Source organism: Homo sapiens, chromosome 6 (assembly GCF_000001405.40).
Source record: "Homo sapiens chromosome 6, GRCh38.p14 Primary Assembly".
In the NCBI taxonomy this organism is placed as follows: Eukaryota; Metazoa; Chordata; class Mammalia; order Primates; family Hominidae; genus Homo; species Homo sapiens.
This window is the reverse complement of record NC_000006.12, coordinates 143178152-143195298: the sequence shown is the minus strand read 5'-3', so window position 1 is coordinate 143195298 and position 17147 is coordinate 143178152. Positions and strand designations below refer to the sequence as shown.

Genomic DNA, 17147 nt, shown 5'->3' with positions numbered 1-17147 from the left:
CTTATTTCTCTAACCACACCTCCAGCTATACTCCACCTTTACCTCCTCTTCCAGCTATATGTAAATATTCCAAGTTCCCTAGACTCAGCATGAAACAGAAATTGCTCCCTAAATCACCATAGCCACCCTAAACTCCCACCGTCAGCCTTTAGAGTGGTCCCAGAGTTCTTCACTTCTCCACCCTTCCAAGGAGCTTTAATTTCCCCTCTTTTATTGGCTGTTCTTTCTCAAGAGGAACACAGTCAGTATCCAGAACAATCCCACAAACAAGGGGTTAAATAAATATGTGTTGGGCCAATCTCCATGAATGGGTAAATCTCTTACTATGACTCCTCTTCATTCTTTGGGTGAGGCCCACTTTCTAGGGACTCCCCCGTAGTACTGCTCACAATGGGGCTTCTCCCTCTTTCCAGTGGGACTAGACAGAGAGAACCTTGTTTCTTTATGGTTCTGGTCTAGAGAGCTGCAGATGTGCCCAGAGAGCCTTGGGGTGCTGCTGCGGGACAGCATCGGGGACAGTGATGACAGGCAGCATGCTGGGGGCCACCTGCCGTGACGTGGAGACATCAAGCACACGTTCAGGTTCTCCAGGGGTACTGGGGTTACAGCATCTTGGGGGACTCCCAAAAACACAAGCCAGGCCAGAGAAACCATAGAGAAGACCTTTAGGTTTTTATCCACACATAAACTACTCAACTTGAAATTATCCAAATAAATAGATGGATTCGAGAAATGTATAAGTCAACCCAAGTTATGATCACCTGACAAGAGAATGTCTCATATTTAAAAACAGCAGTTTGCAGAGGACTTTTCCGTGCTCATCAACATAATAGGGCGATTTGGTTTGGCTCTGTGTCCCCACCCAAATCTCATCTGGAATTGTAATCCCCATAACCCCTACGTGTCGAGGGAGGGAACTCGTGGGTGGTGATGGGATCATGGGGGCAGTTTGCCCCATGCTATTCTCGTGATAGTGAGTGAGTTCTCATGAGATCTAATGGTTTTGTGAGTGTTTGACAGTTCTTCCTTCACATGCTTGCTCTTTCTCACCTGCCGCCATGTAAGACACGCCTGCTTCCTTTTCTGCCATGATTGTAAGTTTCCTGAGACCTACCCAGCCATACAGAACTGTAAGTCAATTAAATCTCTTTCCTTTATAAATTATCTAGTCTCCAGTAGTATTTTTATAGCAGTGTGAGAGTGGACTAATATACAGGGGATAAGCAGGAAGAATCATGCCCTCATAAATCATTTGTGACTTTCTCCAGCCTCTCCTACATTTTACTGATTATACTTAAAGCAATTTGTATCTCTCATCTATACTGAAATATATATCCTTTTTCTTCCCCTATTTTTTTCCTATTTCTTGCTGAATCATCAGGAGAAAGCTTATTTCCTCACTTTCCTCCTAAACCCCTGAAATTCTCTAACCTTCAGTATGCCCTTCCATGAAATGGGATAATAATCAGGTTGTGAGGATTCAATAAATACTATCTAAAAGGGCTTAGCACAGCAAGAGGGAGGAATGTGACGCAAGTGAGCTGTGATCATTGTCCTTCACATTCCATTTATGAGTGGTAAACAGAAGAAAATACAAGAGACAAATCTCTATTAAGGAATAGGAAAGCAGTAAGTACATTTTATGATGAAGTTCACATATAAAGCCAGAGCCATCAACTTCTTGGTTGTCCTTAAAATAAGCAGAACTGTCCTTCAGAATTGCTATTGCTATGATCATTTAACAACCAATAGTTATTGTTCACTTCTAAGTGCAAGGCCCTGTTCTAGGTCATGTGGAGGATATAAAAAGAGAGCTTTGTGGAATTTACACCACAGAAGTCTATTTCTTTTCTATATATTCTCACTACTTCTCAAAAGGTCAAGGTAGCTTGCAATAAAAGGCTCAGGGTGGTGAAAGTCAAGACAAAATGAAGAATCAGACAAAATATATGGTAGGAATGAAAGACAGAAAACTGTATTGGAAGCCACAGATAGGCTGGCTACGGCTTAAAGGCACTAACCGTGTCAGAGGAGAAGTGGAAACAGCTCTTATTAACAGAAAGGAACATATCAGTATCAGGTGAGGCAATATGGCTTCTATCACTAAATTTTAGAAAGAGATTATTGCATGGATACACTCATATTGAGTAAAATAATAGAAAATCTCTTCAGAGTGGTTTTGCAGAGCAGGCAGTTTAGATGGGCAGAAAGTGCCTGGAGCTGGACACACTTGATTTGAACTCAGGCTCTTGGTTGCACCATCATGGACAGATTCCTCAACTCCTTTGAGTCTCAGCTCCTCACCTGTGGAATGGTGGTGATGATTCCTCCCCCTCAGGGCTACTTAGGGAACAAATGTGACAGCATATGGAAGTGGCTGGCCCCTAGCAGTTACTTAAAGATTTATGTACTCCACTCTCCAGATCCACCCTCTGTGTGTCATCATTATTCCTTGTAAATTTGTTTGGACTTGAATGTTCATACAACAACTTTTTATAAAAATGGATGGATCATAGGTCATCTACTTGTGCAGTTATTTGGATATTTGTCTCCTTCACTAGATTATAAACTCACAAGGACAGGAGTTCTTTCTGTTTTGCCTGCTAGCATAAATAGTGAGGAGCACTAGCCATAATATGTGCTCCATTGATACTGGTTACAGGAAAAAAATAAGGCTTTTTTTTTTTTTTCTTGAGATGGAGTCTCGCTCTGTTGCCCAGGCTGGAGTGCAAGTAGTACGATCTTGGCTCATTGCAACCTCCACCTCCTGGGTTTAAGCGATTCCCCTGCATCAGCCTCCCGAGAAGCTGGGACTACAGGCATGTGCCACCACACCCGGCTAATTTTTGTATTCTTAGTAGAGATGGGGTTTCACCATGTTGGCCAGGCTGGGCTTGAACTCCTGACCTTAAGTGATGCACCTGTCTTGGCCTCCCAAAGTGCTGGGATTGCAGGCGTGAGCCACCATGCCTGGCCTAGGAAGAAAAGAAGGCATTTTTGTTGAGGACTTATTCCTTCAGTCTAAGGATGTGGCTTTTTAGTGACCAGATTGAAGCACATGCATGGCGGCAGAGGCCCTCCCGAGAGAATGGCTGCTGCTTCTCTGACAGATGCTCTCAAATATCAACCTTAGATGTCTTGAACATCCTCAGACTCCTCAAATTAAATCTGTTTTCCCTCCAGCACCAGCACTGAAGTTAAAAGTTTAAAGCAATTAAACAATTGATTTTATCACTTTTATGTTTTTTACATCTACAAGTTTTCAACTGTATAATCTACTGTTTATCATTGTAAATGCATGATAATTCAGCTTCAAAACAGAATGAGGAGAGTTTGGGAACTAGCCTCAAAAATGAACTACCACTTATATAACAAAACTTTCGTGGGGAAACATGTTTCCAGTTCCAAATAACTGGCTCATGAATGAACTTTTGAAACCCAAATTCATTTGCACCTCAGGGTTGTCTGAAACATGCAAATGAGATACCAGGAAAGTTTTACCTTTATAAATGTCATTAAAATTTTTTAAATGTAATCTAAAGTAAAATGTTTTGTGTCCTTCCTTCCTCTCCCTTTCCCTTTCTTTCCCTTCTTCCTCCTTTCCTCCTAGACTCCCACCCTTCCTTTCTTTCCCATACCTTCCCATGTTCCCCAAACACAGTTTTTGAAAATCCTCTATATTTCAAGCTGCTTTGGCAGAAGAAACTCCAAAAAAGTGTTAAGTCTATGACTCACCTCATTGTAATTCTGCTTATAGGATTCATGGAAAAGTAATGAGATCCAAGAAAATAAAATAAAACTTTAAAATCCCACTGACAAGTAAGTTTTTTTTCTGTAGGAAATTGAGTTATATAAAAGATTTATATTTTGTTTCATATAACCCAGAAAAAACTCATGTCCCCTGTTAACTGCAGTCTTTAATTAGTTACAGATCATTTAACTCCATATTTTAAAGGATTAATGCTAATTGAAACTTGTAGTATGCTTTTAATCTTATATTAAATATTAATATTAATTAAATTTTCTGAGAATCTTGAGATGATGCCAGTATTTTATTGCAATAGAAACTGAGGCAGAGATACCACCCTATAACTAACCCATTAGAGTTAAGTGTGCGTGATTATGCAGATTAACTCAGGTTTGTCTCTTTGCCATAAGCTCCATTCAGCTCACATCTAGATATCACCAGGACAGCTTCCCTCACTTTGTGTTCTTCCAATACCCACATTTTTTGAACCCCAGGGATGCTTGTGAGACCAACAAATTCAAAGATCTTCAAACGTGTAAGGGAGCTATGTAAGGGAGCATTAAAAAAAAATAGATAGTGTCTCAGTCTTATCCCAGACTGAATCCATCAGAACCTCTGAGTATGAGACCCGAGCCATCCAGGGTTGACCAACATTAATGCAACTTCAATGGCATGGAAAGAAGAAAGCATTGTCAAGACCTCTAGAAATGGGATTGACTTTTAAAGGAAAAGAGTTTTCAATGGGGATCATATCGCTTTCAAACATGTGTGCTAGTATAAATATAAATGATGATAATGTAGAAAATGTTTGAGAGTTTGCAATGATAAGATAGGAAAGCAAAGAAGACAACATCCCATCATGTTAGAATACAGGTTGAGAAAGTCCTTACCTGGGGCTTTGGAAAGAAGGCCCCTGTTCAACTGGAGGATCTGTGCCAGGACACTGAATGAAGTTTTTTGTAAGAAAATGCTTCATAGTTTATTCACATACACAAAAATAATCTCATATGATTCTTAAAAAGAACAGGACAATGAAATTCTGAACATAACTTAAAAGTGAAGATATTGTCTGATCAGACTAAATAATGATAAGCTCCCTACTTCTCTCATCTCTAAAATGTTTACACCAAAAGATAAATGGAAAATATCACCAGGAGAAGAAAGCCAGTGCTGAGCACTGAGGTCAGTGGGAGAGCAAGGGCATGAGGAGCCTCAAGCATCAAAAGCTCACTGGGCCTGGGCCTTGTCTTTTTATTCTGTTTCTCGACTCCTACAATCTGTGATCCATGATATTAAATATCAGAAGTCATGGTGTTCCTTATGGTTGATGTTCTTTGTTGTACTTTCCTTTCTTTTTCTCATCCTGCTATGGGCTGAATGTTTCTGTCCCCTCAAAATTCATATGTTGAAACCCTAACCTCTAAGGTTATAGCATTAGGAGATGGCCCTTTGGGAAGTGATTAGGTCACTGGGGTGGAATCCTCAATGAATGGGATTGGTGGGCTTTTAAAAGAGGCTCCAGAGAGATTACTTGTTCCTTCCACCATGTGAGGACACAGCAAGAAGCTGGAAGTCTGTAATCTGGAAGAGGATCCTCATCAGAACCCAACCATGCTGGCACCCAGCTCTTGGACTTCCCAGGCTCTAGAACTATGATAAATAAATTTATGTTGTTTATAAGCCACCCAATTGTGCTATTTTGTTATAGTAGCCTGAATGGACTAAGATATATCTCTTTTTTATTTACGAAGTTGAGAAGTGTTTCAGGAAATACATTTAAAATGACTCATATTAATATAAGAGGGCTCTAAATTAGGGATGAGGGTTTTGAGGGAAATTGTGTTCTTCAGTTAAAAACATTTAGGTACAGAAAAAAAGGATGATACTGCAATTTAAAGCAAATCAACTTTAAGACACATCAAAAAAGATAGTAGGGTAAAACAATGAAATATTTCTGAGTTTCCTGTCAGAACTTTCCATGCAAACTTACCAAATACAGGCAATTGGAGAAAAATTCATAAGCAAATAACTTAGCATATGACACTCAGCAAAACCTAATGAAATATCATCAAGCTTGATTTCAATATATAATAAATTACTGTATTAAAAAACTATTTTGCAAATACTTTACTATTCTTAAAATAAGTTACTATATAAAATGTGAGCAGGGGCTGGGTGTGGTAGCTCATGCATGTAATCCTAGGACTTCAGGAAGGCTGAGGCAGGAGGATCGCTTGAGGCCAGGAGTTCGAGACCAGCCTGGGAAACATAATGAGGCCATTGTCTCTAGCTTGGGAAACATAGTGAGCCCATTGTCTCTACAAAAAAATTTTTAAAAAAGTAGCCAGGGGTGGTGGTCCACATCTGTGGTCCCAGCTACTTGGGGGGCTGAGGCAGGAGGATTGCTTGAGCCCTGCAGTTTAAGGGTGTGGTGAGCCATGATAGTGCCACTGTGTATTCCAGCCTGGATGACACAGTGAGACTCTTAAAAAGTCTCCAAAAAATAAAAAAAGTTAAAAATGTGAACAGTTGTGCAAACAGTTATAATCTATAACTTTGACTTTTATCTCAGTTGCATGGCTTACTTTTTTAACTACAAAATGATGAGTCTGGAAGGCTTGAGCTTTTAAGAAAAAAACGCATTAATTTTACTGAATACACTTTAAATTTACAGAAATGCCAAATTTCTTATTGAAAAATCCCAGGCAGTGTAAAAAGGAATGTTCTGGGAAGTTGCTATTGCCAGTATGTTTCCCTGGTCTTACAGATGTATGTTTCCCAGGATTACTTTGTGGAGATTATTAGAATCTTTAAAATGAGAGTGGCCACAAGTCTTCTACAGTCTCCTTAGAGAGCTCTAGAGGGGTTGGATGGTCCTATTTATTTATTTATTATTTGTTAAAAGAAGTGTAGAATCAGATTTTATATACAAATCTGAGAGCTGGCATAAGAGAATAGATGACTTGTACCCTGAAATCTTCTGCTGTCCCACCTTGACTGCCCCAAACTTGGACTGTCTCAGCCTTGCCAGGGTTATAGTAGGCAGGTCACAGGAAGGGAAGCTGAAGGAGACCTTCCAGTGCCACTCTAACCCTGACTTCCAAATAAGGTTAAAGCACAGCTTCATGTTATCCAGAGCCTGAAATGTCAGCCAACTTCACCAGCATGAGAAGTGCAATCAGGCGACATTATGCAGCAACATAAATACATCGCTCAGTAAAATGGAAAACTGTATAGCAACAACTGGTGTCAACATCAATTAACATGTTTAAACAGCGGCAACAGTTTACTCTATGAGTGTGCCTACTGAGGAAAGAAACGCCCCTCTCCTAGAGTCTAAATCATATCGATGGGCAGCTTACGAGTAAAGAGAGATACCTCTTCCTCCCATCTTTTCTCTATCCATTAACTTCATCCTCATTTGCGGCTTATCCTTCATTTTAAACTCCCGTCTCTCCATTTATCACTGTACCCTTTGAGCATCAACCTCTCCTTCAGCAAATGTTTTTTAAAAATCACCTAAAAGAAACAAAAGTGGTATGCCAAAGTTCTCCATTACCTAATTTTTCCAACCTGTTACAAAATGCAACTAATAAAATCAAGAGCAAGTATCATTCCTTATGGAGGTTAAAAATTCATGTTCATCCAACACCAAATTAAGGGGTAATTTTTGACAATGCTGCGGATACCCTTCTGTACATCGCTTGAGAAATGGCACTTCTTGAAGGCCCGTATTTCATCAACTTGGCAAAACTTCGCTTCAAGGTCATTTCCAAATGTCCTTCTTGTGCAGAGCAGCATGCATGGCACCAGGTCAATCCTTTAGTCATTGCTGGAGCAAGCTTTCTGTGGAGAGGCAGCCTGCTTCAAAGTCAGATGGGCGTTTGAAAAGCGTGCCAAGAAAACTTTAAGCTTTGAAATGCTGCAGAAAGAAAGGTCGCAACATCTTTTAATTGCCTTCTCTCCCTGCAGAAGGTTGCTTTTCATATTTTTATGCAAATATTACAGGCCTACCCAGTGTGAAAAACAGGTTAAAAAATGTGGTAAGTGATTTTGTGCATATGTCTTCAATTGAGCAGAGTGTCGAGTGCCAAACTTCAACCAAGCTGATCATACTGTAGTTCTGTGTAAAAGCCCAAAGTGGTGGAATCTAGTTGCTATAGCTGCAAATTAAACAAATAAATGAGACACCATGGAATGCAGCAAAATATCTGTGGTCTGATTAGTTCATATTTGCCATATGTGTGAATATTAGCAGTCAAATTCTCAGTTTAAGCCAAGATCTTTCAAATAGGTATGATGAAGGGGGAATTCTTAACAATAAATAAGGAAGATCTGAATTCTTTGTCCAAGGATAAGTAATTTACATTTTATATCAGCTTTTAAGGAATTTCATTAATTTTTTGTTAGGAGTACAAATTCAGTGCTAATAAAAATACAATATTTCTACCGGGGCAGTTTTCCTTGAAAATTTAGATTGAGATTGACACTAACTTGCTAGTTATTATATGGTAATAAGTTAAAATCATTAGCTCTAGGGAGGCTTTAATTTTGTTTAAATTAACTTTGTTTAATTTTGTTTTATTTATTGGACCTACTGTGTGGCAGGCACGGTATTCTGTACTTGCAAGGGCAACCTTGTGAATCCCACAACAAGCTCCACGTTTCCTATGAGTAGAGCTCAGTACAGAAATTTAAGAAGATCATTTGAACAGAGAACTCCATTCTGACTAACCTCTTAAATCATTTACACCAAACTGTCTTCACAGAATAATAAAACTGGAGAAAACTCGAAAGGTTATCCGGTTCAGGACCCTTTCAAATGTCTGCATTCATTAGAAGTGCAGCCTAAGGAAATGAAGTGGCCCTTTTTAGGTTAAACTGTTGTGGGAAAAAGAACAGAGCAAAAAAGACATATTAGTACGTGCGTAGTGATGGCGGAAGGTAGGTATCAGAAGGAATGTTTACTAACAACAGTCTGTTTATCCCAGCACATGGAGATAGCAGCAATATCAGCAGCAGCACCTGAATATACAGGGTAATTAGCTATATTACCAGAGCCAATGAATTAATGTACTTGATAAGGATGAAATGGGTTGCGTAAAGGGGAAACGTTTCCACCAATCTGGGCTAATTATTATACCCAGGTTTACACATATCTGAATTAGATCATTAGCTGTAAGCTCAGTTCCTGGATACAGATATAGAGATGGTAAAAACAATAGGAGAAAAACATCCTTGCTTGAATGAAAAGGAAAATAATCAAAAATGCCAGGAATGTTTATCAGTGACTTAATGAAATATGTTTGGTGAAATATAATGACAATTTAAATTTAGCAGCATCTCTAACTAGATGTTTACAAGGCTCCATGGAGACAGGTACAGAGAGGGCAGGTACCACGGCACACAGGTACAGATAGGGCAGCCCCTGAATGGTCCACTCCCAGCCTGGCTCTCATGGGCTGTGAGCGCTTGGGCAAGTTATTAGGCTGGGCACTTGGAGGCCATCAGATATAGCTGTGCTGTTTGTTTGAAAGAAGAATATGGATCCTGAAAATTATAAATCAATCAGCTTGACAAGGGTTCTATAAGGTTCTATGATGAATCACTGAAAGACTAGAATGGCTCACTGAAGGATGTAGAAAATTAAATGATCATAGGTACCGGCTTAGGTTCACTTAGAGAAAATAATTGTATTTCCTTTCCAGAAAGTGTTACTAGACTTGGAGAATAAGGAAATGTGATAGAAGTTCATTCCCTCAACCATTCATTCATGCATTCTTTCAAAGAACATTTTTGAGACCTATTATGTGCCACCGAGCCAGATAATGGAATATGCAGAGGATGCTAAGACCATGTGCCTGCCCACAAAGGACAACCACTTCCAAAAAATGTAGCAACAAACTACAAATACAGCACAACAGATGCTACAGGAGAGGTACCTGCTGGATAAAGAGGCTCATAAATAAGGGATAGGCAGGGGAGAAGCAATGCATGCATGAGCAAGTGATGTCATTGGAGAGGTGATGCATGCATGAGCACACTCGGAGTTGATAAGCAGAGTTCTGAATGGGAGACAAGGGCTCTGCAACCACTCAGCTCAGGAGCGCAGTGTGCAGGGGCTGTACAGTGTGGCTGGAGTGCTGTGTTAGCCACAGCTTAAAGGGGGCAGGGAGGATGCTGAGGACCTCCTGGACAAGCTGCACCTTAAGAAGAGGCATAAATGGGCTCAGGGAAGTCAGCCAGCACCTCAGTATCCCTCAAGGACCAGGTAGTTTGGGGACAAATTCAGTAGATCAGATTCAGAATCAAAGGGTCATGAAAAATATATGAGATTGAATTTTTTTTTTTTTTTTGAGATGGAGTCTCGCTCTGTCGCCAGGCTGGAGTGCAGTGGCACAATCTCAGCTCACTGCAACCTCCACCTCCCAGATTCAAGTTAGCATCCTGCCTCAGCCTCCCAAGTAGGTGGGACTACAGGCGTGCACCACCACACCCAGCGAATTTTTGTATTTTTAGTAGAGACCGGGTTTCACCATGTCGGCCAGAATGGTCTCCATCTCTTGACCTTGTGATCCGCCCACCTCGGCCTCCCAAAGTACTGGGACTACAGGCGTGAGCCATTGCACTCAGCCGAGATTGAATATTTTCTATTGGGGGTTGCCACACTCTTGTCCTAGCTTCTCTTTAGCTGACCATCTTTCCACAAGACCCGGATAAAGAAGCATAAAGATAAGATGAGGATGGGAGGCCATAAACACATTCTTGCTATCTCCATGATCTGGAGAAAGGTAAACTTGGAAGCAACATGGAAAAGGGACTGGTGAAGAAAGAGGGCAGAGGCCAGGAGATGAGAGACGAGGCTGCTGCCTCAGTTCAGCTGAGAGACGACCAAATCTTAAACTAAAGCAGACATGGTGGACATGAGGAAGCTGGGGCCGATCCGGGACCTATTTTGGAGGTGCAGCTGATAGGATCTGTCACCTAACTGTGGGGGATGTGATAGGAAGAGGAGCTTTGAGATGCATCTTGCCATTTTTGAAATGGCAACACAAGACAAATAACAAGATTTAAAGGAGGGGTTAGCTTAAGCAGTCAGTTTGGTTTATCTCAAGGTCCTTGTATCAGAGGCAGAATGTGATGCCCACGGGGTAGCTGGATCAGGAAGCACAGACCAGGGAAGGACACACGTAGTGCAGAACCTGAAATCATGGGAGAGAGTGAAATCTTCGTGGAAAGAGAACATGAGGGGAACACAGGGGACTGGTTTTAAATCTTGCTGAATGGATGAAGGGACTGGAGAAATTTGGGCTGCAGAAAACAAGACTCAGTTCCTTCTGAGAGTCTTTCCTAAAGCTATTGGCTATTGAAGCTCCATCACTGGAGATGCTTAATCAGAGGGTGAAAGGTAATTAGCCAGGATACTGTCGAGGTGATTTAAGGTTCACATGGTAGATGAACCAGATGATCTTTAGAATCACAAGTTTAGGATTCTAGGATTCTGTGGTTCTATGATAGAAAATGCAGCCTCTTTCCACTTTACTTTCTTTGGCAGCAACAATGATGTGTGCTGAGGTTGGAGCTTCAATTAACAGGGAACTGGAAAGGATACAGGTATGGACTTCTGCCAAGAAACCAGGTCTGTGGCTAATGAATGATCTGTCTGTGGCAGTGAAGAAGGAAGCCAGTTCCTAGAACAGTACCTTCCTGCCTTCCACCACCCCCTCCCCTAAACATAAAGACCTAAGGGCAAATGAATGGAAAACATATGAATTAAGTTTACTTTGAAATATCTATGGATTTAAGGATTAGGGGAGAAAGCACTTGTGTAAACCACACTCTGGGTTTTGCTGACCTCAAACTATCTGAATATAACTTATAGACTTTTTGATGAACTAATACTATTGCTGGGCCTACTCATCATTTAAACAAAGCAACAACAAGGGCAGAGTACAAGCCAAATAATAGCATTAGCCTTGAATTCTACCCTAGCATGGCAAATTAGTTCTCCAGAGGGATTTGTGATGGCATGAAATTGCCTTAAAAAGCCATTGTCTGACCGGGCGTGGTGTCTCACGCCTGTAACCCCAGCACTTTGGGAGGCCAAGTCAAGCGGATCATGAGGTCAGGAGATTGAGGCCATCCTGGCCAACATGGTGAAACCCCCTCTCTACTAAAAATACAAAAATTAGCTGTGTGTGGTGGTGCATGCCTGTAATCCCAGCTACTTGGGAGGCTGAGGCAGGGGAATCACTTGAACCAGGGAGTTGGAGGTTTCAGTGAGCCAAGATTGCGCCATCGCACTCCAGCCTGGCGACAGAGCGAGACTCCGTCTCCAAAAAAAAAAAAAAAAAGCCATTGTCCGATTATTTCCTTAGAGAGAGAATAACTAATACCCAGATAAAACAATTAATATGTAGAAGAGCTTTTCAACAAATTTGAGCCAGGCTGACCTGTAGCTCTGCAGTGTTCTGGAATGTTCTTTGGACATCAGTCCAGGCCTTCTCAGGCAAAAATGGCAATATAATATGCACAAAAAGACCCTTTCTGGGAACAGCAGGTCATGTGTGCAGGATTTTGCTGCAGTGCAGCTGAAATTGAAGAGTGACGTTAAATACAAGTTAGAAAATAAGTAAATGCTTTGAGGTTGTATTCTCTGTCAACTATTATGAAGGGGAGGAGAGAATGAATGAGAGAAAAAGAGAACAAGAGAAAACATGGACATATATTGATAAGGATGATTCACTCATGCAACAAATATTCATTGTCCATTTTGTACAGGCATTGTTCTAGGTATTTGGGATAAATCAGCAACTGAAATAAAGACCCCTACCCTATGGAAATTCCATTCTAGCAAGGGAAGATAGACAATAAACCATAAATATAACATATAAGCAAAACCACATTATATATCAAGGATGATTAGTGCCATGGGAAGGGGGAGCAGGGTTAGGGGATTTCAGTGAGTGGGGAGTATGGGGTTAGCTGCAGTTCCTAATTGGCTGCTCGGGGTAGGTATTACTAAAAAGGTGAGGAGGAGGTAGAGAAGTGAACTAAGCAAATCTCTGGGGACACAGTCCAAGAAGAGAAGTGTACCTGGGGTGCTCAAGGAACCAGAAGGAGGCTAGCTTGATCCATTAACATCTACTGATTCATCAAATGATTATTGAGTACCTATAATATACCAGGCACTATACCAGGCACTAAAGAGAAAAAAGGCCAGGTGCAGTGGCTTATGCCTGTAATCTCAGCACTTTGGGAGGCTGAGGCAGGAGGATTGCTTGAGTCCAGAAATTTGAGATCAGCCTAGGCAACATAGTGAGAACCTGGCTCTACAAAAAATTTTAAACATTAAAAATTAGCCATGCATGGTGGGGTGTGCCTGTAGTTTGAGCTTCTCAGGAGGCTGGGGTAGGAGGATCCCTTAAGACTAAGAGTTTGAGGTTAAAGTGAGCTATGACTGCACCAATGCACTTCAGCCTGGGCTGTGCAACAAAGTGAGACTCTGTCTTTAAAAAGAAAAAAAAGAAAAAAAAAGAGAGAGAGAGAGTGAGAGAAAGAGAGAAAAAATTAATCCCTAAACCTTAAGTAGCCATGGAGAAGTGTATGATTTGACTCTGCCATTCTGCTTTCTTTATGCTAGAACATTTTTAACCCTCTTTCTCCTCTGGTCTCCCCCTTTTCCAACTTCTTATCCTGTCTTCCTCTTTTCTATGGCCGTCTCACATCTTCTCATTCATGATACTATCCTTCTTTTTCTCTTTTCCTCTATCTTTCTTCCTTCTCCATCCTGGTCTCTCCCTGTCTCCCCTTTCTCCCTCCAGTTTTCCTTGTCTTTCTATCTCACAAAGTAGTTCACAATTCATTCAGACATCATCTTAAAAATAATACATTTTTTCCAGTTTATAATATTCTGGTTAAAATAACAAATAAAAAATATCATTGGCAATAGCCAAAAGTAAATGCCTTGAAATTTATTACTGATCTGAATAAACAAAATAATCAAATCTTCATATTAAAATTTAAATCTGCAAAATCTAACATGGGAGGACTGGACTTGTTAGAACTAATGATCACAGATGAAAATTTACAATGGAAGAAGCTATCATCATCCATAAAATTTGATAAGAAAAAAGCTTATGTACAGGAATAGCATGAAGCAGTTCTGAAAGCATCTGACTCATTGTTGATGTAACTCTCCTTGTTCCTGGTTTTTGGGGGTCTTATTTGTTTTCTTTGGGAGGTCCATTTGAGAGTCCTAGAGAGAGGTTCCTAAGGAATTTCTGATCTCTGTTCCAGTTTCTTACTTTCATTTTTGAAAATTTCCAGATATCTTAGTTACTTTAGAATACGTGTGGAAAATTGGAAAAGGCCAGTTTTTTTTCATATGAAATATTTAAGATATTCTTCTTTCAACCAATAGCTTATTTTTATGAAATATCTAATATCAGTGTGGCACAGACTCCATGAGTAATGAAAGGCACAATCTGTGTATCCCAGAGCTGGAAACTTACCATAAGTCATGCTATCTACCAAAAGAATAACATCAAATCTGAGTTCCTGCAAAACCAATGATCATCCAAGTGGCATTTAATGCCTTCTCTTCTGGGAAAGACAGATGCACAAAATCTGTAGTAATTACCAAATGTCAAAATAATATTGAAGAGAATAAATCGTTGCCTAAATTAAGGTTCCCTTGAGGATCAGTTTCATATAACAAGAACAACTGACAAATCAAGTGTGAAGAGGGGTGGGGTTTATTATTTTTTTCTCCTCATAAATTACATGGGAAATGAACAACTCCTGCTGTGATTATAAGAATACCAAGATCTTGTCTGCTTAAAGATCTTTGGTAATAATAATAATATCCTAACCTTCTTCAGTGCTTTGCATTCTGAAAGCACTTTATAAACATGAATTAGTTCTTCAGTAAGCCGAGGCACTATCTGATTGTTGTTATTTCCTGTTATAGCATCACTGAAGCTCAGCAATCTTTCTGGAGTTTAAATATTTATTTATTTATTGCTTTCAGTATATATTTACTTCACTGACAATGCTTTAAAATTATTATCAGCAGAAGAGAAAGGTTCATGGTTCTATTTTTGCAATGAGGAAACAGGCCAGAATAACGACAGTGCTTCTCCTTGTCAAACTGAAAATGGCCCTTTGGGGACTATGCTGTTGGCTTGCGGAGCTGTTTTCCTACTTGCCTTCTTCTATCTCAAATATGCCATTTCCAACCTTTAAAACTGCATCTGTTTTGTGTTTTTCTCATCCTGCAGCCTCACAATATCTATCAGGGTGATTTGCAGATCATAGATTTACAATACATGTTTGTTAGATTGAATTATATCAAAGTCCAGGTCCACATGTTGCAGGCCATGGAGAACTCTCTCCTACAACTGTCCATGGCCACCTGCATTACAGTTTGGAAATTCTGATTCATTTGCTAACACCACCTGTGCTTTTCTTTCATCTGATCATCAGTGGACTGAGGACAGAAAGACGGTGGAAGGATAGAAATGTAAATGTGACATTCTTCCAAGTTTCAAAAGCACATGCATAAACATTCTTTCAATCACCAACATTTATTGAATGCCTAATGTTTGTCATGTGCTGCAAGTTGCTGAGAATATAAAGTTAAATAGGCTATAAGGAGAGAACGATTTTTGATTTTAGATATTGAGCCAGCTCCATTTAAATGTGCTATATTGTATATGCTTATATTTTTAATTACAATAAATTAAAACAATAATTCTCTCTTTTGATATTTTCATAGATCCTGGAGATAACTTAGTATTTATACAAAAAGATTGCGTTACTTTTCTAATTCATCGATTTACTCATTTCTTCTCCTCTTCAAATAAATTCTAGGATTGGTTGCTGAGAAAAAAAAAGTAGACAATAGAAAGGAAGGGATATGACATTCTCCTTTCATGATAATCATGTCTAACTTCTAAAACTTTAGTGTAAATCAAAAACGAAAGCCCTGTGGATTTCAGATCCTGTAAGCTTTCTTATGCCTGTTTTCTCACTAATTTTGTGCTGGGCAGTTGAATGCTGCAAATTCAAGACCGAGTTGATGACGTGTTCTGAAATGGTGTCGTGATACACTTAACTATATCTCAGTTCTGTGGTCCTGGGCTGTAGATTCCTAGAAACTATGTAGAGACTCTTCAAATAATGAATGTGATTCTGCACACAAGAAAAGTGTGCATTCTTTCTTGGAATTCTTTTAATTATACAGATCTCAACAGGCAATGACTGTATACTGTAAATGTTTAAAAATTCATATTTTCCCAATCCCTCAACATCCCCCACCAGCAGGTTACAAGCACTCCAACCAGGTGACCAGGTGCACCAGTGTGATAATGCTGGTACTTGTCACAAGTTCCCATTAGCCCTCTCCTGACAGTGGTCTAGTGACATTCAAACACATCAGTGAAATCCCCTCACACCTTTTGTTTGTGTACTCTACTCAAGCCCCCAATAAAGGCACTTATCCATGGGTTTTCTCTCTCTCTCCCCTCCCCATCTACCTGGTTGAGCCCACTCCCCAGAGCTCCTATATGGGCCCTATGTGGTGGGGATTGCCATGCCTCTTGTCCCTAAGTCCTGTGAGTATATATAACAGATCCTTTAATTTCTTATGTCTCTCCCAGTGTGATTTCTGGGGCCATAACGGAGTGATCCTTACAAACTCCAACAAAGAGACCTACTCCCCCATTTATAGCACAGGCAGCCAGGCCTACAGTATCATAACCATTTGCAGAAATAGTGAAAAGTTACAGAAGACATCATCAAGATGGCTGACTAGAGGTACTCAGCATTCACCTCCTCCAGTCACATGTTGAACAGAGAGTCTAGGGGAGAACACTGGAATTCAGCAAAGAAGTGACAAAGCCCCTCTGGGGATGGAGACTTGGGACAGCAGCATAGACACGGAAGCAAAGCATCTGGCTAGGATCGGCTCAGAGCCCAGAGAGACCTCAAGCACAGGAAAAAGGTAAGGTGAAGATCCCCAGCAGTCCACATTTCCATGCTGGATGCCTGTAGTCCTAATAAGAGGAGAGCCCCCAGCCCTGACAGGCCCTGAGCTCAGTATAGGGAGCTACCTGGAAACCATGTGATTGCATTGTTCCATAGAGGAAATCAAGCTGGGTCCCATGCCCGCAGGACACAGGCTGCCACAGCACATCATCATGTTGAGAGCAGAGCCACCACCAGTGTGCATCTTGCCCTGGGGCCCAAAAACCCCTAAATCTCCACATCCTTGGGGTCCCTGGGACATCCCACCACATCCACCCAGAGGGATGCAGAGTCATGATAGCAGCTGTGCAGCCAAGACCCCAGAATCTGAGCACACACAGTATTTCCACACCCTAGAAAACAGGCAGTC

The 17147-nt window shown here is 40.5% G+C and overlaps 1 protein-coding gene across 24 annotated transcripts in view; it reads right to left on the bottom strand.

The window, feature by feature from the left end:
- The window catches only part of AIG1 (androgen induced 1), a 284671-nt gene that overhangs the window by 148585 nt on the left and 118939 nt on the right, over positions 1-17147 (bottom strand). For 3 of the 24 annotated variants that reach the window (NM_001366359.2, NM_001366356.2, NM_001286589.2), the window contains one exon: positions 4702-7670. The exons of 20 other annotated variants lie outside the window; for them this stretch is intronic. In NM_001366359.2, coding sequence (NP_001353288.1) covers positions 7656-7670 — 15 coding nt within the window. In that variant the 3' untranslated portion in view covers positions 4702-7655. Of the gene's footprint in view, positions 1-4701; positions 7912-17147 lie in introns of those variants that run through there. One more of the 24 variants, NM_001286588.2, reaches the window with a different exon arrangement.